At 41.5% G+C, this 25,928-nt stretch overlaps 1 protein-coding gene across 39 annotated transcripts in view, besides 2 other annotated features; it reads left to right on the plus strand.

Moving 5' to 3' along the window:
- The window catches only part of LIMCH1 (LIM and calponin homology domains 1), a 340,438-nt gene that overhangs the window by 50,948 nt on the left and 263,562 nt on the right, over positions 1-25,928 (plus strand). The window lies entirely within an intron of this gene.
- Positions 22,033-22,735: an enhancer, noted in NCBI's record as "OCT4-NANOG-H3K27ac hESC enhancer chr4:41434604-41435306 (GRCh37/hg19 assembly coordinates)". NCBI's record gives its function as "activates a minimal SCP1, AML or CMV promoter by ChIP-STARR-seq in primed H9 embryonic stem cells {active_cell/tissue: H9 hESC(primed)}" and the evidence as "EXISTENCE:reporter gene assay evidence [ECO:0000049][PMID:30033119]".
- Positions 22,736-23,439: an enhancer, noted in NCBI's record as "OCT4-NANOG-H3K27ac-H3K4me1 hESC enhancer chr4:41435307-41436010 (GRCh37/hg19 assembly coordinates)". NCBI's record gives its function as "activates a minimal SCP1, AML or CMV promoter by ChIP-STARR-seq in primed H9 embryonic stem cells {active_cell/tissue: H9 hESC(primed)}" and the evidence as "EXISTENCE:reporter gene assay evidence [ECO:0000049][PMID:30033119]".

Consider the following 25,928-nt stretch of genomic DNA (forward strand, 5'->3'; position numbering starts at 1 on the left):
TGTGATAGCTCTGCTTGGATGCACTTAAACAAAACATGGGGGAAAATGGAACTAACTCTCTGTGCTCCCTGCAAGACAGCACCCCTCCCCTGCATTGTCAACACTGCCAGCATTCTCCTCTCCCGTCCATGGGATCCAGTGAGAGGTATTTCGGTCCCAGATGTTTTAGGGTTAATTTGTGTGCTGCTGTTTCTGCTACATGCTGGTTCATTAGCCCATCTTCTGGCTTTCCTCAAGCCCATGCCTAGATTGGTGAAACCGTTTCTCTGATTTTTCTCTACACTTGACTTCCATCTCATTTTGCCAGGCCCTGCTCCCTGCTGGGCTGACCTGGCCCTTACCTAAGCCCCACACTCATACCTGCTAGCCCATCCGGATAAATGAACTCCATTCTATTGTCTTGCTGTTTGTAGAGGTTCACACAGCTCAAGACATTCTTCACCACCATCAGGTTATTTCTTCTCCCTTATTACGTTAGACTCCATTGAAGACTCTTAGTCTTCTCAAACTCAGCACTTGAATGATTGCCTGTGTTTGTAAAGCATTTTTACAGTGTGTATTTTCACCTAGAATGTCTCATTTACAAATGTTTCTAAAATGTATTCAGGCTAGGATTTGAATCCAGGCAGTCTGGCTCCAGAGCCTGTGTTCTTAAGTTACTAAGTTTTATATTTGGGATAATAGAGAGATGAGAATTTGGACAAAAACTTTTATATATAACCTGTTCCTTTGCTTGCATGGCATTCTATCTCATCATGGCCAACATGATCAAAATTTCTCAGCCGAAAATTACTATGTTGCTGGGTTTTGTTTTTGTTTTTTTTGTTTGTGTTTTTTGAGACAAGGTCTCACTATGTTGCTTAGGCTTGGACTTGATCTTTTGGGCTCAAGCAATCCTCCTGCCTCAGCCTCCTGAGTAGCTGGGACTATAGGTGCAGGCTACTGCCCAGCTTGCTGTTTTTCTTTTTATCAGGAAGTTCCCTTGAAGCTTTAAGCAACCAAACCTGACTTTTTCCTCTCTCACAAATGGCTGGGATTCATTGCCGGATTGATCGCTCCACCACTCACTCTTGTGGTCCACCATCTGCCAATGGACTCAGCTTTTAGGGAAAAAAAAAAGGATAGGCTGGGTGTGGTGGCTCACGCCTGTAATACCAGCACTTTAGGAGGCCGGGGCGGGCAGATCATGAGGTCAGGAGTTCAAGACCAGCCTGGCCAAATGGTGAAACCTTGTTTCTACTAAAAATACAAAAATTAGCCCGGCGTGGTGGCAGGTGCCTGTAATCCCAGCTACTCGGGAGGTTGAGGCAGAAGAATTGCTTGAACCCAGGAGGTGGAAGTTGCAGTGAGCGAGATCTCTGCACTGCACTACAGCCTAGGCGACAGAGCGAGACTCCATCTCAAAAAAAAAAAAAAAAAAAAAAAAAAAAAAGGATAGCCCTGACACAGGTTGAAAACCTGTTACATGGATCACAGAGAATGTGCATTTTTAAAAACCAGCCTCATTAGCAGAGATTATTAGCTATGTCCAACTAAGTTCCCTTTTAAAAAAATGTTTTCTTCTGTATTAAGGCTGTGACCCATAGATCTCATCCTCACAGCGGGGCATTGGAGTTGGTGCAGCTGAGCAGCAATTTATTAAAGGTACAAATTGAAGATTTCATATGGCACTTGGTCTTCCTCATGCCTCTTGTAGCCAAATATTTTTAATAGTGTCTGAAAAAAGTGTCAAGTTGAAAATTAGAGGATACTAAGACATGGAATATAATTAGGTACTGAAGAGATATGATGGCTGTTGTTCTAGGTGCTGAATTGCATATCTCAATCTGCATTTTTCTTTCACTTTTCGGGTTTGAAGACTTAGATAATCCCAGTATCTACAGAGGTTACTTAAGGATACTAAGTGACATGAGGTTTTATAGTCATAGGGGGAAATAGAGGTAAAATGGGAAACTAAAACGTTAATATTTAGGGCAGTATTTAAAAAAAGAATATAGTAATTGGGTCAGTTTATATATGTATGCATGTGTATGGGAAAGTCAGTGCATTGGAAAAGAGAGAAGGTTTTTTGCATTATATTCTAATACCATCATGTGTTAGAATCATGCTTTATAGGTGGGGAAATGAGCAGTAGAGAGGCTAAATGAGAGACCAAGAGACTCTGGGGAAGTGAGGACAGAGCTGGGATTGAAACACATCCTTCTGGATTCAAGTACACTTGACCTTTGCCTTCTGGCTGAGTGGATGGCAAGAAGGATCCACCATGTCAAGAGAAAAAATTAAAAGGGAAGATGTTCATCTAGGGGACTAGTGTGATATCACTGACTTTGCACTAAAAAAAATGGTTTAGCTCAACTCTGGGGGTTACCAGCTTTGTAACCTAGGTAAGTTGCTGAAGTTGGGGCCTCAAATCTGGAGATCCTCATAGCTAAAGGGAAAGGACTTTTTGAGGATAAGCTTATCTACCACCTTTGAAGATTGAGATAATGTGCATGACAATATCTGGAACTTGATAAATGTCAAATTCCCTTCTCCTTCCTTTACATATTGATCTGTAAGTTGTTTAAATTTTTGCTCATGACATTGTTTTCTCCTGAGTCCTCTTTGTCTTAAAAAAACTAACAGAGAGCCATGTTATTATATGCAACATGTAGACATAATAAGTTTTTTTTTTTTTTTTTTAAATATCAGTTTTGTGTGTTGTAAGGTAACTTCCAGGTAAGTTACCTTATGGCCAAATGGTTTGAAGTCTCATGGAGCCATGAAAATGTATCTACAATTTGACTTTTTTTTGAGACAAGGTCTCATTCCATTGCCTAGACTGGACTACAGTGGTGCAATCATAGCTCACTGCAGCCTTGAACCCCTGGGCTCAAGCGATCCTCCCACTTCAGCCTCCTGAGTAGCTAGGATTACAGGAACATGCCACCATGCCTGGCTATTTTTTTTTTTTTTGTATTTTTTGTAGAGATGGGGTCTTGCTTTGTTGCCCAGGATGGTCTCAAAATCCTGGCTTCAAGTGATCCTCCTGTCTCAGCTTCTCAGTGTCCTGGGATAATAGATGTGACCCTGGCCTATAATTAACTTTTAAGAAAATAGCAATAGTAGTATAAAGACCAAGAGAAATGGCAAGATGTTAACATCTTATGCCATTTGTTCTGGTGGCAGTGAATATTTATTTAACATGGCTATTATGCTGTGGAGTGGTTAATGTCCAGATCAGTTCCACATAATGTAAAGCCGACCTCAAGTAGGAGGAGGATAAATGGGTTAAAGGAAAAAAGACTAGCAGAGGTTCCTGTGGTTTATAAAAAGGAAGTGGTTGAGGGAGAAGATTAATGACTGAGGATTAGTAAACCGGGGTTAGCTGGTGCAGTTTTAACGCAGACCTTAAAGGGGGGCAGGGGCCTGCCTTTCTCCAGCCTGGTAGAATGGGAAATATCATTAGAGGGTAATAAATATATTTAGTTTAAACTTCAATTCCTTATGTTTACATGAGAAAAGATTAGATTACAGATTTATTATAACTCATTCTCCCAAATATCTGGGAGTAAATAAAACATGATATAATCCTGTATTATTCATATTAACAGGATGGGGGGGCAGGAAGAGTGTGTGTGTGGACAACATAGGACAATGAATAGTATGAAAACCACTGATCACTGACAGATCCCTCTTCTGTTTTCTTCCTGACCTTCTTGGTTTGACAGCACTAGACGTAGCCGAGTTCTTAGCATGAGAGAAGGGGGTTGAGAGGGAGAGACAACTCACGTACTACTGAAGTTGATTATCTTAAATTAAAAAACCGTTATCCCGATCTACCCCCTTAAAAACTGTTTTCCTCTCAACTTCTCACATTCCATGAAATATACTTATAAGCCTCTAATGCCTGACTTGATCCTTACCGTAGTGATTAGAGTCAGATGTTTAGACACGCTAGACTAATCTAATGCACTTTGACTTGGCCGCAGCTAAGACTGTAAATCCGTATGTCAGATACCGGGCGATTGACATTTTTGTTATGACCGTAAATTATGCTGGACCTGGAGCCTGATGTAAAATTATGCATTATGTCACTGTGTCAACTACTCATCATGGAAGACTTTGTCTAATGTTGGTCCTGAGTGTGAAATTTCATACTCCTAGAATGCCAATTTCAAATTTAGATGTCACCCATGATGATAAGGTTTTATAATTTGTGCTTTAAAGCAACTTAAATCTTACAAGTGGGTCTCAATATATAAAGAATAAAATTAATGCTTTTAAGGAATGTTGTACACGTATTGTGGTCACAATATCTTGAAAAGAAAATGTTGATAAAATGGAAAGTAAACACAATAGAGTGGTTAGGAACACGGACTCTGGAATCAAACCTTAGTTTGAGTCCAGGTCTTTCTTGCCGCTTATTAGATGTTTAATCTCTCTTAACCTCATCCCCCCTCCTCCATATATACTACAGGAATAACAATATAATACCTGTTTCATAGAGACATTGTGATGGTTAATTGAGGTGACGCATGTAAAGGCTTTAGGCTGGTACCTTGTGAGTGCTCAATAATTACTAGCTACAGTTAACAATAATAATAGAAATAAATATTAAGGGTACCACCCTTAACATCTCGAATTTGTAACCTTCCTGAAAATGCAGAGGGATTAATTTCTGTTGTTGTTTTGATGTTGATATTGTAGAACATATTAACTTTTGTCCTTTCGCTCCTGAAAGCCATGTGGAGAATGTCAGTAGTGTGTCCTGAAGATGTATTATTGGGAGGTGACCTGATAATGGATTTTTAAAACCATCTAGATAAATAGATAAAATAAAATTCTTTAAACTTTCCATCCCCTCTCTTGCCCCCTCCCCTCCTTGAAGAGAAATTTTATGGCAATAATATGTATATGATTTCCATGCTGGAACAAATAATCTAAATTATTTGAGGTTTTGAAGCAGCATGCTGCAGGAGAAAAAGGAGAGGCCCAGGAGTCTGAAACCCAGCCTTGCCCATACAGCTGTCGTCTGCTTTAGGAGACAGGTTTTGGAAGCATCACCAGCTCTGTGATGCTTCTGTGACCTTGGTTAGCTATTGTCCTTTATCTATGTGTCTGGTACTGCTATTTGTGTACATGTCCATTATTATGCTGGGAACACAGCGCGGTGGCTCACGCCTGTAATCCCAGCACTTTGGGAGGTCAGGGCAGGCAGATCGCGAGGTCAGGAGTTAGAGGCCAGCCTGACCAACACGGTGAAACCCCGTGTCTACTAAAAATAAAAAAAAATAGCTGGGCATGGTGGCACGCGCCTGTAATCCCAGCTATTCAGGAGGCTGAGGCAGGAGAATCGCTTGAACCCGGGAGGTGGAGGTTGCAGTGAGCCAAGATCACGCCATTGCACTCCAGCCTGGGTGAGAGAGTGAGACTCCGTCTCGAAAAAAAAAAAAGGAATAACTTGCCCACCGATTAAACTGTGAGTTCTTTGAGGGTATTTTATGTATAGTACTCAGGCTGGCGCTGAGTACTGACTTAGTAAAGATTTGTTGAGTGATTGTGTGACCAGCGTCAAGGTGTGGCTGTAGGCTTACTTTGCTGGGTGGTTTTGGGCAATTTATTTACTCTGAAACCCAATGAACCTCACACCTGATTTGTCTCCTGCAAATAGCTAATGTGAGCTCAAATGAATAAATGTAAATAGTTTCTGTAATTTCAAAATGCCAGGCAATAGAAGATTTTAAAACCTGGTCACGATAATAACAATAATATTGAAACCCAAGCTATAATATTTACCCTGGTATGCTTCATAATAGTGAGAACTGGAAACAACTGATATTTTCTGTGGCTCACGCTTGTAATCCCAGCACTTTGGGAGGCTGAGGTGGGTGGATCACTTGAGGTCAGGAATTTGAGACCAGCCTGGCCAACATGGTGAAACCTCATCTCTACTAAAAATACAAAAAAAAAAATTAGCTGGGTGTGGTAGCGGGCGCCTGTAATCCCAGCTGCTCAGGAGGCTGAGGCATGAGAATCTCTTGAATCTAGGAATTGGAGGTTGCAGTGAGTCGAGATCATGCCACTGCACTCCAGCCTGGGCAACAAACTAAGATTCCATCTCAAAAACAAAAAAAAAAAAAAGAAAATTTTATCACTAGGTTATTTGTTAAATCACTGATGCTACACACACACAATATAGTATTAGGCAGCTGATAATATTTACTGAATGTTTAAATTATGTGCTGTTCTACTGTGAATGAACTGGTCTAGGCAAACCTATCCCCAAAGGCCAAGGGAGCTGACAGGCCAAAGAAAGAAGCTGACAAACCTAGTTTCTCAGAAAGAAATAGGGACTTACAAATAGAACCAGTGTCTCCGGCAGCTGAGAGATGGTGGATCCCTGCACTTGGCCTGCAAAAAATATCTTTACATAGCAAGCTTTTAGGGCAAAGACATGTGCAACTGGTCATTTCTAAGACTTTTTTGTGAAATTTGTGACTTTTGGGGAGGTTAGATACCCATCTTTATGAGGGGTTATCTGTGCTATAGGCATTGCTTCTTTGTGAGGGGTTATCTATGCTATAGGCATTGTTTCTTTGTGAGGGGTTATCTATGCTATAGGCATTGTTTCTTTGTGAGGGGTTATCTATGATATGGGAACACATTGGTCATCACAGAGGTTTTGTTTCAAGATCGAGTCACTCCGGGTGAAAACAGCCTGTTTTCCTGCATGCACCAGGCCCTGTTCTAAGCATTGAACAAATATCTCATTTAATCTTTACAACACCCCTTTGAAATCCAGATCCAGAGTCCTCAGTTTACAGATGAAGTAGAAACTGTGTGACTGGCACAGGAAGAGGTGCGCTGTTTTGGGCATCAATCAGAAGCAAGCTGAAGAGCCATTTATTAAGCATAGGAAAAACAACCCTGATAGGCGATCCATCCAAGAATTAGTAGTCGTTATCTCTGGAGACTAGATTTCTGAGGGAGTTTCTTTCTACAGGGAGTCAGTGTTGCTCTGTTGCCCAGGCTGGAGTGCAGTGGTGTGATTTTGGCTCACTGCAATCTCCACCTCCTGGGCTCAAGTGATCCTCCCACCTCAGCCTCCCAAATAGCTGGGACTACAGGCACGTGCCACCATGCCTGGCTAATACTTTTGTATTTTTCTGTAGAGATGTGGTTTCACCATGTTGCCCAGGCTGGTCTTGAACTCCTGGGTTCAATAGAGCCGCCCACCTCAGCCTCCCAAAATGCTGGGATTACAGTTGTAAGCCACTGTGCCCAGCCTCTAGAGGGTATTTTAAAATTTGGTTTGAAAAATTTTTTTTACAATGAGCATGTATTATTTTATATTTAATGAAATAAAGCAATAAATGATCATTCACTTTGGAACTATCCATTTTCTTAAAAAGAAGTAGCCAAGAAATGAAATGTTAACATAACTGAAATGTTAATGTAATTATTTGTCATTTTGGCAATGAAAGTTGTTTAATTCGAGCTAAAATAGTGCATTTGAAACAAAAGAGAGCTGCCCCTACCCACTACTTTTCTTGTTTTCTGGGTCTCAGCAATTCACTTGCATTTGACTTTCATTTATCATATTTGTGAGGATAGGTGAAGTTTTAGCGAATAAGTCATGTAGTATTAAATCTCAGTGACTGTAAAAAAGACTACAGCTTTCCAGCCAGAAATGCCTCTTTCCATAAGGGAACAAATTCTCTGACTTTCAAAAATTTAATATAACAAAAGACTCTATTCTAGATTGTATGGAAGTTGTAAATTTTAATTACATCTGCGTTTTTCTCCATTCACCTGGTGTGAAGAGGGAGGGACTCAACCTGGGTGAGCAGCTATTTAAGCATCTGGCACAGGAATCTTGGTCAGCCACATGCATGTACAGGACTATAAAAAAGTCCAGGTTTGCGTTGGGAGTCCATCACTAAGTGTTTATGTGCCAGTGAAGTCACCAGGCCTTCAACACCCACAGCCAAGAGCTGTGCCGAGAGAAGCAGGCTGCCGCTCCTGCAGTCTGGTTGACAAGCCTCCGTGCCCGGCACCTGCGCCTTGTTGCCTGTGGGATTCCAACTCTGATTGTTGCCTCAGAAACTGTTGTTACCACAGAACTTTCTCACACTCACTGGCCCAGACGTTTGCAGAATTCCAGGGCTAGTGTGTGGTTAGGCAGCCAAATTCCAATTTTAGAATGCTGCTTGTGACCATGAAACTCTGTTAACTCAGGCTTTTAAAGGGCTGACACGGTGAGAGATAGAGAGAGAGAGAGAGAGAAACTGTGTTGGGGAGGAAACAGTATGAAGATGAACAAACAAGCAATTGTTTATTGTTCTCAACTAGAGAACAAACATATATTTTGATCTCCATAGGATATGAGTGTTAGCAGTGATAAAACATAGGTATTTGAAATGTGGAATGATGCTGGAATCTTAAGTCATCCACATTTCACAAAGGATTGTGTTAAAATTCTTTCAGAAAGGTAGAGGGCTTATTTCACTTCTGAATTTCCAGTCACTTCACAATCTGCCTCAGTAAAGTGTCTCAGAATTTTACATTTCTAAGTCACTACGTTTTGTTTTATTTTATTTTATTTTATTTTATTTTATTTTATTTTATTTCATTTTATTTTATTTAATTTTATTATTTTGAGACGGAGTCTAGCTCTGTTGCCCAGGCTGGAGTGCAGTGGCACAATCTCAGCTCACTGCAACCTTCGCCTCCCGGGTTCCACAGATTCTCCTGCCTCAGCCTCCCGAGTAGCTGGGAACACAGATGCCCACCACCACATCCTGCTAATTTTTGTATTTTTAGTAGAGACGGGGTTTCACTGTGTTGGCCAGGCTGGTCTCAAACAGGAGTTTGTGATCCGCCCACCTCGGCCTCCCAAAGTGCTGGGATTACAAGCGTGAGCCACCATACCCGGCCAAGTCATTAAGTTTTTTTTAATGCCTACAATAACCCTTTCTCCTTGTGAAGCTTATGGAAGAGCCTACATTTTCTTCCTTTCCTTTCCCCTTCCTTCCTTCCTTCCTTCCTTCCTTCCTTCCTTCCTTCCGTCCTTCCTTCCTTCCTTCCTTCCTTCCTTCCTCCTTCCTTTCTTCCTCCTTCCTTCCTTCCTTCCTTCCTTCCTTCCTCCTTCCTTCCTTCCTTCCTTCCTTCCTTCCTTCCTTCCTCCTTCCTTTCTTCCTCCCCTCCTTCTTTTCTTCCTTCCTGCCCTTTTCCCTCCTCTCCTTCCTTTCTTCCTCTCTGCCTTCCTCCTTTCTTCCCTTCCCTCTTCCCTCCCTCTCTTCCTCCCTCCCTCCCATGCCATTCTGACAGGTATTATTATCAGCATTGAGGATATAACTTCGAACCAGATGGAAAAGTTTCCTTGCCCTCAAGAAACTGACATTTTGGTGCAGATAAACAGATAATACATACTAAATAAGAACTTCAGAAATATTAAGTGCTATGAATAAAACTAAACAAGGTAATGTGATAGAGGGGCTGATAAATGTGGATGAGGGGGGCCTTCTACTCTTAATTGGGTGCTCTAGGCAAGCTTCTCTGTGGAGCTGGCCCTTCAGCTGAGACCTGAATGTTGAGAAACTATGGGAAATACTGTCAGCCAGACCTGAGGGCTTCCATTTTCCGTGTGTCAGTGGTGGCAGGTGGGGCAGGATGGTAATACCTACCTCACAGGATGATTGGGATTAACTGAGGTAACATGCCAAAATGCCCAGAATAGTGCTTTGGTACTTAATAGCCTTGAATTATAATAGTAGAACTTAAAAAGGTTCCCACCCCCATTTTTCATGCCTGTTGAAGTATTCATCATATCATCTGTATAAAAATCTGCCAGATATAGAGGTCAGAATAAAAGATCTATCAGAGCCATGCCTTGGATTCAGGGTGTAGGACCAGACAAGATGATGCCAGAATATAGCCCTGCCTCTTGAGATTACCAGTGGGGTTAATTATGTTCCTTTATTTGCCAACTTTATTTCAGGAGTTGGCTGGAGCTTGGTTATTTGATGGATGAGTTGGACATAGGACTTCCCAATATGAACCACGCCTTAGGTTGACTTAACCCGATTCCTCCTCCCCAAGGAGGTGAGATGCAGGGACCTCTGAAGGCAGGGCCAACGTGCTGGCCTCCGGAGGCCCTTGAGATATGCTCACATGCTTGGCAGGTCCTCCACTGAAATTCTCGAGTTCTGCTCTGCAGAGCATGGAAGAGATGGCTTTGGCCTGGAAATTTGATGGCAGGTGTTACCTTGTGGCTGCCAAGAGCTTGATGATAGAGATTCCTCATTGCAAGAACGCTGGAGAAAGCACATTTTACTGTATGTGGGCCAATTTGAATTTCTTCTTACTAGTTGGTAATTGTTGTAGGCTCTGCTTCAAAAAGGTGCATACAAGGCTTACTCAAGTAACACATTTGTAACTAACGCTTGAGTTTGTATAGCGTGTACACCTTGACCTGGATCTTTGGGCCTTACTGCAACCTTGGGGGTTGTTAGGGCCGGCCCCAAGAATCGTATCCCCAAGTAGTGTGGCATACTGGTTAAGGGGTATTGATATTCTGAAGCTAGACTTCCACGGGGTTGGATCCAGGTTCTACCACTAGCAGTGAGATCCTGGTTAACATATTTACCTACTCTGTGACTTGGTTCCTTATGGTAAAGTGGAGATCATTGTGCCCACCTCATAGGAGTGCTGTGAGAAGTGAGTTACTCTATGTAAGCTCCTTAGAGTCATACCTGGGTGTGAACCAAGACTTAAATGGCGGGGAGAGAGAGACTTAAGAGGTCAGATCGCTGATTCAGGTGAGCAGATTTGCAGAGTTGAGACTCAAACACAAGTCTGATTCTAAGTCTAGTAATCTTCCTACTTTTTCTTATGTTTAACAGTTATTGGTTATGATTTTAAAACATAAACTCAGAAAGAAGCATAGGAAGATATTTAGGATCCTAGTAATAGAATCACACACTATTTGAAGTAGTGGTACTGTTATCTCTCCTTTACATATGGGGAAACTGAGGTATATTGCAGTTGTTTTGCAATGACCTGATGTTACTTTGGTTGATATTTTTAGTATGCCATTGGTCTTTTCATTTCTGGATCCTAATTTTATAAGCAATGTAAAAAGCATAAGACTGAAAGTGTTATTTCCAATATTAAAATTAAATGAACTGTCCTGTGAGGCAAAACTATAAAAGAATACGATTAAAAAGATGAATTAGCAATTCAGATATCACAATGAGATTAGAGGCCAGGCATGATAGCTCACACCTGTAATCCCAGCACTTTGGGAGGGTGAGATGGGTGGATCACTTGAGCCTAGGAGTTTGAGATCAGCCTGGCCAACATGGTGAAACCTCGTCTCTACTAAAAATACAGAAATTAGCCAGGTGTGGTGGCATGCACCTGTAATCCCAGCTACTTGGGAGGCTGAGGCATGAGAATTGCTTGAACCTGGAAGGCAAAGGTTGCAGTGAGCTGGGATCACACCACTGCACTCCAGCCTGGGTGACAGAGCGAGGCTCTGTCTCAAAACAAGCAAAGAAACAAATAAACAAACAACAGAGAGTGAGAGAGATTAGAGACTTTTCTCAATGGTGCTGTCATTCGTCAAATATACCTGAAACTTCTCTTTGGAAATTACCTTAACAATGGGTATCACCTTATTTTATTTATTTATTTTTTTGAGATAAATGAGTGATCTCGGCTCACTGCAACCTCCACCTCCCAGGTTCAAGCGATTCTTGTGCCTCAGCCTCCCAAGTAGCTTGGATTATAGGCGCGCATCACCATGCCCAGCTAATTTTTGAATTTTTAGTAGTGACGAGGTTTCACGGCATTGCCCAGGCTGGTCTTGAGCTTCTGATCTGAAGTGATCTGCCTGCCTCGGCCTCCCAAAGTGCTGGGATTACAGGTGTGAGCCACCGTGCCAGGCCAGGTATGGTATCACCTTATTTTAAATATGCTTTAAAGGTTAATATTAATTTTTTTAAAAGAAAAAATTTACTTCAGCCTCAATTTAGTAAAAATGTAGACATTACTTGATACCTTTTTCCTTCTTCAGATATAGAAAGCAGCTTCAAAGGTAGTGCAAGAAAATGGTATATAATCAATTTGGGACTAAAAAGCTGTTTAGCTTGTGTGGCCAGATTGTGGTTTTCCTGTGTGGCTCTAGCAGATACGGACATTTCTTTTTTCTTTCTTTCCTTTTTTATTTTTTCTTTGATAAAGGGTCTTGCTCTGTCACCCAGGCTGCAGGGCAGTGACACAATCATGGCTCACTGCCGCCTTGACCTCCTGGACTCAAGTAATCCTCCTGCTTCAGCCTCCTGAGGAGCTGGGATTGCAGGTGTGTGCCACCACACCCAGCTAATGTTTTCAATTTTCTGTAGAGATGGGGTTTCGCTATGTTGCTTAGGCTGGTCTTGATCTCCTGGGTTCAAGTGATCCTCCGCCTTGGCCTCCCAAAGTGCTGGAATTACAAGTGTGAGCCACCGTACCCAGCCTGGGGATTTAAAATGGAGTTCTGTTACCCAGCAGCAGCCACAATGAAATCAATGAATGCCCTTCTGAGGGGACTACTGTGAAGGCTAACATTCATGGGGTGCTTGATAAACATCAGCGTCAGACACCCTCCGTATGATATGGAGAAGTAAAGAAAGCCGCAAACTTATGTTCTGGCTTGAAGCTATAACTTTTCTTTCCAAGTAATCTTTTCAGGGAAAGCCTTTTGGCTTTGACTACAGCTATCCACAAATGGAAAGATTTGAATTTCATGAAGTCTGGGAAAGAGTTTTGGGTGGTATGCACACCAACATGATCAAGAGGCTGTTAAAATGAATTTTGCAAATGAGCAAAAAGTAATTTGCATTAAATACAAATATGTTGTCTTGGGGTTAAAAAAAAAAAAGGAATCCTGCAGAGCTCTGAGACTGCTAGCAGATGGATTTGAGAGTGGAAATGGGAGGGGAGGTGAGAAGCTATGGTGGTGGTCTATTGGGAGAGGCAAAGAAATGGGTCAGTTGTGGGCTTGTTTTGATACAAGCAAACAGGTCTCAAGCTCCTGCCTTCTCCAAGCCTATAGCCTGGGGGAGAGTGAGGGTGGGACCAAAAGTCCTCTAAGCAGATACATTCTATATGTTCAAAATACATCAAAATATTCTGGTGTCTGTGATTATCCCAATCTGGGAGAATTCTTGGGTGAGGGCTGAGAATTGAGAAGTTAAATTTTCGGTGAAAGTGCTATAAAGGTGTGGAGTTTGGGGGAAAGTAAGTGTTTAATATGGGAAAGATTGGAGTGGCTTGGTGGAGAGAAGGGAAAGGTGGGTTGGGGATAACTGTGAAGTAGCATAGGGCATCTCAGTGGTGTTTCAGGCTGCCAGGGCCAGTCAATGAGTTACTCTTTGCCCATGAGTGATGTTCTGAGCATCAGAATAACAAGGATAGGATACTGGCATACCATCATTAGTGTGATTCCCTCCTTCCTGCCTTTTCTTTCTCTCATTTTGATATGATTGACTCAGACTTTTTAATTAAACTTTTTATTTTCTTTTTACCATGCGTACTAGCCTTATACATGTGACGTAGGGCTCCCTCTTTCCCTCTCTCCCTCCCTCCTTCTCTCCCTCTCTCTTTCTCTCCCTGTGAACATGGAACTCTGCTAATGATTCAAGCAGTGATCATGATTCTGTCTTCTGATCTTGTTTTATATATACAGCAAAAGTAAATTGAGACCGTTTGGAAATAAACACATTAGTACATAGCCCAGCACCAAGCATATAGTGAGTGTTAGAAGTCAGTGGAATGAAACCACCTGAATTACAGTTAAAAGCTGTTTTCACAGATTCTTATTGGCTGCTTAAAGTAATCTTACCATGGATTCTTACAAACCCGTGGACCCTTATCTGAAACTCTTGGGGCCAAACGCCTTTCATATATCAGAATTTTCCAGATTTAAAAAAGTTTATACAGTGCAGATAGCATGTATTATGTAACTTCTTCAGTAGCAGCACCCATATCCAAACATATCATTTTTTTTTGTTTTGTAATGAAACTTATGAATGTTCACATTGAATAAATAAAGACAATGCAGCTGCAAGTCAGTTCAGGTCAGGTTTTGTCACTAATTGAGTTTTCACCAAGCTTGCATACTTTTGGGTTTCAGAACTTGGGGTTTTGGAATTGTAGACCATAGTGGCTTTTTGGAACTATTTCCTGCTTATGTTGCTGTTAGCTGTTGCCCAGTCTGCCTTAAAAATATTGGATTCCCCTGGGCCAGACAGCAGCTATTGGTATCATTCATCTTCTGTTTCCTGCAGGAAACCTGTACTTCTTTTAGGCTCTGCAGCAAAGAGAAAATCAGAAGGAAAATCGTCTTTGGTCTTCCTTCTGGGTGTCTGTTTTAGATCCTGATTAGCCTTGTCTCTCAATTGTAAAAATATTCCTCTCGGCCACCAGATTCCTCAGTCACTTCCCTGGTCCATCTCCTCCTTTATCAGTGCTTGAAGAGTGTGACATCGTTCATTGCTTTTAACAACCTGGGGTTTGGCCTGATACAAATTGGTTCTTAAACTAAGAAGGGCATATCTGTTTTCCTTCTGAACGTTTAAAAAGATTTTAAACATGGAACAGATGTAAAAAGTAATTTGCTTGTTTTAATACAGAGAGAGAATGACTTCTAATGGCTTCATGTCTGGGAAGGGTCTTGATCCCATGAACTGATCCTGTCTCATCTATTTCTTCCTTAATCCTCTTCTCTTGGTCTTGGTTTCCACCCTTGCTTTTCAGTATTCTCAGGCAGTTTTTCTTTTTTAAAGACGGAGTCTCACTCTGTTGCCCAGGCTGGAATGCAGTGGCATGATCTCTGCCCACTGCAACCCCCGCCTCCCGGGTTCAAGCGATTCTCCCACCTCAGCCTCCCAGGTAGCTGAGACTACAGGTGTGCACCACCACACCTGGCTAATTTTTGTATTTTCAGTAGAGACAGGGTTTCGCCATGTTGGCCAGGCTGGTCTCGAACTCCTGACCTCGGGTTATCTGCTGGCCTCAGCCTCCCTAAGTTCTGGGATTACAGGTGTGAGCCACCACACCCACCTGGCCTGGGTGGTCTCTTTCTTACCACCCCATCTCTTTTCTTTTGCCTGCTGCCTCTGCTACCTGCTTCTTTTTAATCAATTGTGTTCACTTTTAGTTGTTTACAATCAGTTGCCAATCTCTGAAAACAGTTTCCTGACAAACACATTTCTTCCCTCTTCCTGTTGGAGGCTTTTCTGTTTGGGATTCTGCCCACATATGCAGACACTTAAACTTCTAGTTTCATGGCTGTCTTAGAGGACTTGGGTTGCTGGGCAGCTGAGAGTTGGATGTCTGAGGTGCTGCTGTTTTAAGGAACATTTATATGCATGTGAGTGGTTTTGATTTGAAACTAAGGATGCTAACTATGAAATCTGAGAGAGTGAAAAGATTCTTTTTTTTTTTTTTTTTTTTTTGAGACGGAGTCTCGCTCTGTCGCCCAGGCTGGAGTGCAGTGGCGGGATCTCGGCTCACTGCAAGTTCCGCCTCCCGGGTTCACGCCATTCTCCTGCCTCAGCCTCCCAAGTAGCTGGGACTACAGGCGCCCGCCACTACGCCCGGCTAATTTTTTGTATTTTTAGTAGAGACGGGGTTTCACCGTTTTAGCCGGGATGGTCTCGATCTCCTGACCTCGTGATCCGCCCGCCTCGGCCTCCCAAAGTGCTGGGATTACAGGCGTGAGCCACTGCGCCCGGCCCGTGAAAAGATTCTTGTAAGATTCCAGGTGATTCTTAGTTCTTTTCATGGTCTGTATATGAGAAGTGTTTTTCTACATCTTTCTTTATGATAGTAATAGATGTTTGTAACAGTATAGACATTTCACAGGAGACTTTAGTTAAATTTAGGAATCATGACTTTATCCTGGCAATTTTACTTTAGAAATATTATATGCTTAGAGTAATTCAGATAACTCAGTCCTTTGAAGGTTCTCTACATATTACTGCCTTTCATATTTGAAGATAGATTTGGAAATGATTGTCCTCTGGGTGTAAAGAGTCCAATATATACTGCTGTTGTTTCCACACAGCATTGTCATTTCCTACCAGGGACTCTCCCTTTTAAACTTAAGAGTTGGCACGGAAACATTATTGCTCAAAAGAGCCACCCATTCCCGAGTGTGTTTGACAGGTCTTTGTAAACAAACTTCTTCAGCCTTGCTGAAATTAGTGGAAAAATCTAGGCTCTCATGTTTACAGTTGACGTGGGTTTTCCTTTCACCTAAAATAACCATTACAAGTAAGATACTAAGTAAAAAACATACTCATTTCTACTTGGTATATGAAAATAATATATGTTTGATGTATTCAGTGAAATTCCAGTTAACTCATAACTCTTTGAGGCCATGGATGGAGAGGTGGCATTATTAGTCTCTACCTCCAGTGCCTCACACAATTCCTGGGCACAGAAAGAGACATACAATTCATGTTGGGTCAATCAAAGAATGATTGATCATTGGCACCTCCTGATTCTATTTGGTGGTCAGAGAAAGTGGCAGGACTTAAGTTATTTTACATATAAACATTTCTTGCAAAATTTGGAGAGGATGTTTTGATGGCTTGAGATCTTTTAATTTCTTTGAGTTACTTTCATTGTCCTTCCCACCCCTTCCCTCTCTCCACTCTGAACTGCATAGGGCCTGCCTGCAGTGAACTACTCACTTCTTCTGACTCCAAGGAAGGCCATATCATGTGTTTTAAGTACCCCATAAAATTTATCTTCAAAGTAAAGCTTCCTTTGCCAAGCTCACAAATGATGGATTTTTGTTTTCCTTCGGCCTGAGGGTCAAAAGAATGGGCACTTTTGTATGTACAGTCTTCGGGGCCATTTCCTCCCTCCTATCCTACTGCCCTCTCCCTGTCTTAGGCAAGAAATCACTTGGTTCCGAGCAGTGACCTCCGCTGGGCCAGACAGTTCTGAAAGCCTTTGTGTGTTCATTTCCTTAAAGAAGTGGAAGGTAACATGTTTGAAAGCCGGACAGCTGTGGCCTGTTCCAAAACATCAATGTTGATTGTTTGTTTTTCTGGATTTTAACAAAGGAGCTTTTGCCAGGAGACCTTTGCACTCTTGCTTATTCAAACCCCAAATTACAAAAATACATAACAAAAATAAAACAGAAGCCAGACTTAAGGTTATCTTACCAAAACAGGACGTCTTCCTTCTTTAGATTGTACAAACACATGAGTTCCCTAGTTAAATTCAATCAATCATTCCTGACGGATTCAGCTAAAGTTTTGCTTTAACTCATACCACATTGTCTAGTCCTTAGAGCTTAGTTCTATTTCCTCACCTTGTTTACCTACAAAATGGTGCATCTATTTGGAAAAAAAAAAAAAAAGAAGAAGAATTTACTGGTTCCTTTTTACCTCTGTGTATTCAGCAATAAAAAAAAAATTCTCTGAAATGTGTGCTGGAGAATAATAAGCAGTTTTCCTTGGGTGGTCTTAACAGCTTAACAGATTGCTCTGAAATTGAAATCCTCAAAGATGATCTGTTCAAAGGAGGGGTGTCGACTTTCTCATCTTTTGGAGAGAGAGAGGGATGCAGCATTAGCTAGAGACAGTATGAGGTCGTGGTAAAGAACATGAACTCTGAGGCCAGTTGGTTTGGTTTCAAATCATCTGCCTCTTACTAGCTGTGGACCTTGGTTATATCACTTAACCTCACTGTCCCTCATCTGTATAATGGTAATAATAGTAGTACCTCCTCCGTGCTATCATGATTAAATAAGTTAATATCTCTAAAGCACTACATAATAAGTGCTGTGCAAGTGTTTTTAAAACACATGAAAAGGAAATAGAGATGAGATAATGTCAGAAGAGATTAGTGTTAAGCCCTTGAAGGGAGGGGGCAATTTCAAATGAGAAGAGCTGATAGGGAGTGGCAGAGAAAGCAAGTAAATTGGGGATTAAATGATAGACTATGCATTTGGCCATTTGGAGTTCTTAAGTAACTTCTAACTATTCAGAATGTGGCTTTAAGCAAGCCAATTTATCTCCCTATCGGTAAAAGGTGACACTTGGCTGGCTCGATATTCTGTTATGTGTCCCAGCCCCAGAAATGCACAGACTGGTTTCCATTTTTAGTGGAGTGCTGTGAGCAGAAGCCAGACTGAGATTTCAGGTTGGATTGAGGAAAGATGAAAGAGCTGACACTTGGTATCTAAGTCATTTCCTGGCAGTGAGTGAGAAGAGAGAGCATCGCTAATGGCAAAGCCAGGGCTGAGAGGCATGGGGTTGAGTTGCTGTGTGAAGACAGTCGCTCACTGCTGCCTGAAGTCTTCCATGGTTTCTTCTGTGATTTCTTCCTTTCCCATCTCAAGCATTTGATTCCCCTTCTTACTTTTTTTCTGACTGTTACTCTTTCGAAGTTGCCTGTGAAAGGGCCTCCTTGTTTGAAATCTCTTCTTGGGAAGGAAGAAAGTGGCATGCAGCAACGTAAATAGCAGGTGCAAATCCTCCAGATGAGTTCCAGCCGAGGGAGAGTGGTGCTTGAGTGGCTGTGCTGAATTCCTCCTCCCAACTTGATAGCAGATTTTTGATATTACAGTCCATCTGTGCACCATTTTTTAATGCGTATGTTTTTGTTTTTTGGTTTGCTTTATTCTCATTTTTTCCCTTGGGCTCTTTAAGTAGTCTTATTCTACAAAGCAGCATTTTTTTTCTTTTTCTTATTTGTGCTTCTAGTGCTCTGACCCATGGGTTTTTTTAAATATAAATTCACTTGCGTTTAGCCATAGCCACCGAGTGAAGGGTACTCATTTCTGAGGAACATACTTATTATTCTGGCATAAGCTATGTGAACAGACTGTTCTCTACAGATTTGAGTATCTTTGAGAGGTGCTGGCGACAACAATGGCATTTGGCAGCATGATGCTCTGTTCAAACAAATATTCAACTTGGTTTATATTAGCGTTTGTATCAGGCTGTGGTAAGCACAGTATTCTCAGATTTGAACCTATAAAGAATTATGGAAAAAGGATGGTGAGGTCCGCAGAAGTGGTCATGGCACTTATATTTTTCCAGTTTGCCTTTCTTGATTTTTCTTCATTAAATTTTCATTCAGTGTTTTTATCAGACAGGATGTGTTAGATGATGCTGCAGTAACAAATGATACCCAAGTCTCAGTTGCTTAAAGAAACACCATTTTCTTTATTGGCTATGCTACATATCCATGGAGGGCTGGCCTTCATGTAGGCCTTCATGTAGATGCACGTTGATAGATATCCCCCTGTCACCAGTTACAAGGGAAGGAAAGGAAACATGGTGAATCATGCACACTGTCTTGTGGGATTTGGCTTAGAAGTAATATTACTTCTGCTCATATTCATTGGCCAGTCAATGAAAGGCAAGTCAAATGGCCATGCCTAACTTCACATGGATGGGCAGGGAAACACAATCCTATAATGTTCTTGGAGGAAGGAGAATTGGAAATATTTGGTGAACAGCACTAAATTCCTAATACAGTATAGACGTTACGTAAGTCAAATACCATAATAGAGTCTAGGGGCACAAAGATGAATGGAGTGTATTCTAATTCTAGAGAAATTATATTTTTTGGGGGAAATAGCTTTATATAGGAATTTCAAAATGATGGTGATGAAGCTAAGATGTTTTTAAAACCATTTCTGTATTTTATTATATTTATCTATTTATTTTTTGAGACAGAGTCTTGCTCTGTTGCCCAAGCTGGAGTGCAGTGGTGCGATCTTGGCTCACCACAATCTCTGCCTCCAGAGGTTCAAGCGATTCTCTTGCCTCAGCCTTCCGAGTAGCTGGGACTACAGGCACGTGCCACTACGCCCGGCTAATTTTCGTATTTTTAGTTGAGATGGAGTTTCACCACGTTGGCTAGGATGGTCTCGATCTCCTGACCTCAAGATCTGTCTGCCTCGGCCTCCCAAAGTGCTGGGATTACAGGCTTGAGCCATCGGGCACCCTGCCCCCATCTCTGTATTTTAAAAGATTAGGAATGTTTCCTTTGTTGTTTCATTTCTCCAGTTTTTGTAAGTATGTTCCAAAAGTTACAAATAGCTACTAAATAATCTTCAGAACTTAAATATGATGAAGAAAAATTGGCTTTACTTAATTTTACATAATGTTTGGGTCCTTTCTTGAATCTTTATATGTGAAAGACATCATTTTTGTGGTTTTGCCATGCTTTAGCAGTCTAAAAATTGAATGTGCCTAAGGAGAATAACTTTTTTATTACATGCTGGCTTAAATCTCAGACAGAATTCCATTGAAAGCCAGTTGGTTTTCTGTTTTGTTTTTTTTTTCTATGTGTCTTTCAGTGCTGAAATTGGAAATAAACCAGCATTATGGCTTCATGACGGAAAGTGTAGCAATTCTGCACAATGCACAAGCAAGTTTGTCATTTAAAATAGCAGACATCTGTCAGAAGTTGGTGCTGACCTTCTAAACTGCAACTGAATGTTCAGACTGTTATTTCTCCATCCTCCTCAGATGCATTTCCAGTGTTGGGCTCACAGCCCCATGCTTCTTGTCTGCTTCCTAGTGGGTTATGGGTTGTGTCCTAGAGTCTAGACATGAAATGAAAAATGATTATGTAATCTGTTTCCCTTCTTCTCTGCAAAATTCAGAGGAAGGGTCAAAGCTTTGAGACATACCACCTCCCCCTGCTTGGTGGAAAGAGCAGATTTTGAGGATCTATAGACATAGAGTTGGAATCTTGGCCAGCCCCTTCTTACCTGTAGAACTTTGGGCAGATTGCTTTATCTCTTTAATTCTCAGCTTCCTTCCCAGTCATATGAAGAGCATAAGAACTGTTTCAGTGGCTTGTTGTGAGGGTTAAGTATATGGTTTATATAAAATGCCAACAGTGTCTGACATGTAACAAGCACCCAATAAATATTCCCTATTGGCACAGTGCTTACTGGTTTTTAAAGAACTTCATTACATTTTATCTCATGGGACTACATCAAGGAGGTAAAAGGCATCTAGCTGAATTAGTTTTCCATTAACTTTCCAAGAAAATAAATACAGACTGCATTCTCTTGGAGTCACAGTTGACTTCGCAAAGATCTTATTTTATTATGATATGTGTATGTTTTCTTCTCTACTCACATTTTCCCTCACCCATCATCTGTTACATTACATATAGACTGAATCCTCTACACTTTTTAAGTTATAAATCTTTTCTTGTGCTATTATGAGTTTTGGGTGATTACTTCAGCCAGCAATGGATGATTAAGGGCTGAGGGGATTGGTGTTCATACTATAGGAGAAGAAAACAAAAACTTTGATAATTTTAATAATAATGACTAACACCAATTGAATAATGATTCTGTGCCTAGTTCCTAATTGAAGTTTTCTTTTTTCTATGAAATCATAATTAATCTTCTCTCCACTCTGTAAGGCAGCTATGACTATTACTTGCACATTGCAGGTGAAGAAATTTAGGCTAGGATGTTAAATAATTTGTCCAAGGCAGTATACTTAGTAAGATTAGCACTGGAATTTAAATCCGTGATTGTTTGATTTCAAAATTGCTGTTTTTCCCCACTCAGCTCTATAGTACAGATAAATTTGGGTTTAAAATAGGGAGGTTATATTGCTGGCTGATGCGTGTTGTGTGAACACTGTCTGAGTGGATTAATTGTGGCAGCTAAAAATAACAGGGTGTATTGTTGACTTTTTGTACAGTCTAAACTTCTTTTCTGGATGACTTTAAAATATGAGTGTGTTGCTGCTCTTGATTCCTAACAGAGAACTTTAGAGACCTGGAAGCCTGTCCTTTGTGTAACTCTTTACGTATAACGTCAGATTCTGTGGACAGGTGGCCCCTGATCTGCATCCCTAACAGGAGGGTTAGTACTGAGAAGTAAGGGTAAAGATAGAAGCTAGAAAAACAAATAGGCTGTACCTTCCTGTCTGAATTATTCTCTCATTTTTCTCATCCCTGACAACTTTCTCAATAAATTGTCCTAGCAAGTAAATCCATGGGTCTCTATCCTTGTTGGGAATAGCATCATTTGGGCAAAGCTTTGCCATCAATTTTTCATTTAAAAACATTTCCTAAGGTAAACATTAAGGCCTGAATGACAGCTATAGTTTGAGATTTTTACTTTGAATTATGAGGCTTACTTGGCTGGACACCATTTTTCAATGGCAACGATCCTTCCTGTTTTAAAACCTGATTGTTAAAATACAGGACATATGGGAGATCTTAAAAAGATCAAGTTCCAAGTATAATTCTTTTTCAAGTAGGCAGTGGAGTCTGGTGCATAATGTTCCAATCTAGTTTCACGGTCCTTTTGATCAACCCAAAATAAAACTGAACAAGACAGCATCTCTCAAAGGGTTAATACCCTGGAATTTCACACTTAACAATCGGCATTATGTTCTTTGCATTCTTGAGGAATTTTCTCACTGATGTCAAAAGACTTTGGTTTGTTATGCAAGACAGTGGTCCAGTGACTTTGCATATCACATTCTCTTAACATGAGGGAAATCCTTGCATGCTAATTGGAGAAGGAAAAAAGTAGTGCAAGTGGTTCTTTGGCTACAGATGAATTAAATGAGGGAGGGCATTTAGTGAAAAAACAAAGCACAACAAAACCCTTGCAAATGAGCGGGCATTCTTTTGAAATGGCTGCTTACTCTAGTCGTTTTGCGTCTGTCTTACTGCTGTGCTGTGTCACTGTGATTCCAGTTTTGGGGGGGAAACACTTGAATGTATATATGGTTTGTTTTTTATTTTTCTGATTGCTTTAATTACCTATTGCTGTATAAGAAATGACTCCAAACTTAGTGGCTTAAAATAACAACAATTTATTGTTTCTTAAGATTCCATGAGTTGACTAGTTCAATTCTGTTCCATGGGGTGTTGGCTGGTCCCTGTGTTCAGTTGGTGCCGGGGCTGGGCTGGAAGGTCCAAGACATCTTTTCTCACATGTCTGGTACCTCAGTGCTTCTCCACGTGGCCTTTCTACCTGGCAGGTTTGGGCGCCCTCATAGCATGGTGGTTTCAGGGTAGTTGGACTTCCTCAGGTAGCTGGCCTTCAAGGAAAAGAAAGCAGAAGCTGTTAGTCTTCTTTTTTTTTTTTTTTTAAACTTTTAAATTATAAAGCTGTCAGTCTTCTTAAGGCCAAGCTTGAAAGTGGCAGCATGTTACTTCCACCATATCCTGTTGGTCAAAGGAAGCCCTAGAGTCAGTCCAGATTTGAGGGAAGTCGGGGAAATAGACCCCATTTCTGGAAGGGTGGAGTGGCATGTCCCTATAGGAGGAAACGAATTGATGGCCCAAATTGTACAAGTAGAGGGAGGACTGAGGGCAGAGGGGCTCGTCTTAGCTGGTGGGAACACCAAGGGCGGAGGAGAGTTTTGTCCCACTTTCTTTTTAGGGTTCTGGACAGACACTGCTATGTGAGTAACTTCATGCCAGCTTAAAAGGGGTACACTTCCAAGTGACATAAGAGGACAAAATGGTGAGGTCAGGTGGAAGGGGCCCCAGGGCACTCACCAAGGCTCTCTCAGCTCCTGTGTGATGGCAGAAGGAGCCAGATGTTCTGGAATTCTTCCAAGGGAGGTCTCAGAAGGCAGCTGAGTTAAGAGGCAGTGGGCTTAGGCTAGGAACTGGGTGGAGAATGGACCCAGAGCTGGCTGTGGCACCACTGGAGGCCAGCCAGTGGCACTCTAAGGCCCTGGCCACCAGCTGTAGACATCAGCTACAGATGTCCATGGAATATCTAGGGTTGTAGAGCTAGCCGGTTTCACTCCCATGGTCACCAGGCCAGGCAGCAACCCAGACTAGCTGCTTTGCAGCAGAGGGCAGCTAGGATGTAGAGGACAACATGTGATTTGCATTCTCCATCTCTCACATCACCATAATGGAGACACTCTTCCCTCTCCCCATACACCTGGTTACAGTTGGTTTTTGGGGTATTTTTTTCCTGAGACAGTCTTGCTTTGTCACCCAGGCTGGAGTGCAGGGGTGTGATCTTGGCTCACTGCCACCTCCACCTCCCAAGTTCAGGAGATTCTCCTGCCTCAGCCTCCTGAGTAGCTGGGATTACAGGTGCCCACCCCCATGCCCGGCTAACTTTTGTATTTTTAGTAGAGCCAGGGTTTTGCTATGTTGGCCAGGCTGGTCTTGGACTCCTGACCTCAGATGATCCGCCAGTCTTGGCCTCCCAAAGTGCTGGGATTACAGGCGTGAGCCACCATACCCAGCCCTGGATACTGTCTTGATGAACAGAAATCTGAGTGACTGAGCATGGTGTCTAAAAAGACTGAACCTAAAGGAACTGTTTAATTTATTGCATAGGAGTAAATATTTGCCAGACTTTTCTACAGTTGGGTCTCCCTTTTTCCAATAGTCTGAATAAAGTCTTCCTATGGATGTTAATATCTTAATCCTTAGAGCCTCTGGCTATATTATCTTATATGGAAAATGAGACTTTGCAGATATGGTTAAATCAAGGATCCTGAGATGGGGAGATTATCCTAGGTTATCTCAGTGGACCCTATGTTATCACAAAAGTCCTCATAAGAGGGGGACTGGACATCAGAAGCAGAAAAAGAGGAGATTATCCAATGTTATCCCAGTGGACCCTATGTTACCACAGAAGTCCTTATAAGAGGGAGACTGGATATCAGAAACAGAAAACGGAGAGATGATGATGGAACCAGGTATTGGAGTGATGCATTTCGACGATGAAGAAGGGACCATGAGCAAAGGAAAACAGGTGGCCTCTAGAAGCTGGAAAGGGCATGGAAAGCCTCCTGTTCCCCGTGCCGAAGCCTCCAGAAGGAAGGCAGCCCTGCCAACATCTGGACATTAAATTTCCTACCCCTAGAACTGTAAGAGTCAATTTGTATGGTTTTAAGCCACTAAACTTAATGTGGTAACTTGTTAGAGCAGCCACAGGAAACTAATACACCCTTCTTGTCCTAAACCAGTCACTTAGAAACATTGAAGCTACAATTTCTTTGCTCATTTGAGTGCAGAATAAAGCTAATAGAGTTCTATTTTATTTTTTCTCCCATTCATTTTCCTAGTAAGATATTATTTCTGACTATTTGATGAGCAAGAACATTGAGGGGTAAGGAGTGAAGTTCAGTAACTTTGCCCAGGTTGAATGGTTAATGATTGAGCAGGATTAATCTAAGCTGCAGAGACACTGTCTGGGAACATCATGCAAGATCAGGGTCTCATATAAAAATGTATTAAGTAGAAGTTTATATACAGAGTAAGCTTTCGGTATCTCAAAAATCTTATTTCTGAAGTCCTATATTGTAGCAACTTATTGACATGATGATTCCTATAATAGAAATAATAAAACAGTTGCCACTACGTGACTCAAATTGTCCCCTCCTTATTTTGAAGACTTCACTCAGCTTCTCAAGAAATAACCAGTGTACCATATTTGTTCCACTTTCAATGATACAGGCACTTTTCAATTCATTTATTACTTTTGTAAAGTTTAGTTCTAATAAAGCTCATAGAGCCATAAGAAAATCTCTTTAAACCTTGTTTTTCTATTAAAAAAATACATTCTGGGTTGTAAATTAGGAGGCCAGGAATTCTTGTTCCCTCTTTGGAGGTGATTGTGGTGGTGGTTTGAGCTGTCTCCTTGCCTAGATCTAGGTACCTGGACTCCACAACTATTCACTGTTCGCACTTCTCCGCCTGTGTAGAGATGGCATGACATTTGTCTGAACATGAGTATACCTCCAGTTTACCTCTCCTTGAGCTTTTCTGACTTAGAAAAGTGAGCAGTTGCCCCCACCGAAGGGTCTGGGGTTGCAGACTTACTTAGGGTCTGCTCATGGGTCTGGGGCATTAAAAAATAATGTCCATATGTTGGGGACAGCTTGTATTAAGAATAATCTTTGTGA

The sequence above is a fragment of the Homo sapiens genome, chromosome 4 (assembly GCF_000001405.40).
Source record: "Homo sapiens chromosome 4, GRCh38.p14 Primary Assembly".
Classification (NCBI taxonomy): Eukaryota; Metazoa; Chordata; class Mammalia; order Primates; family Hominidae; genus Homo; species Homo sapiens.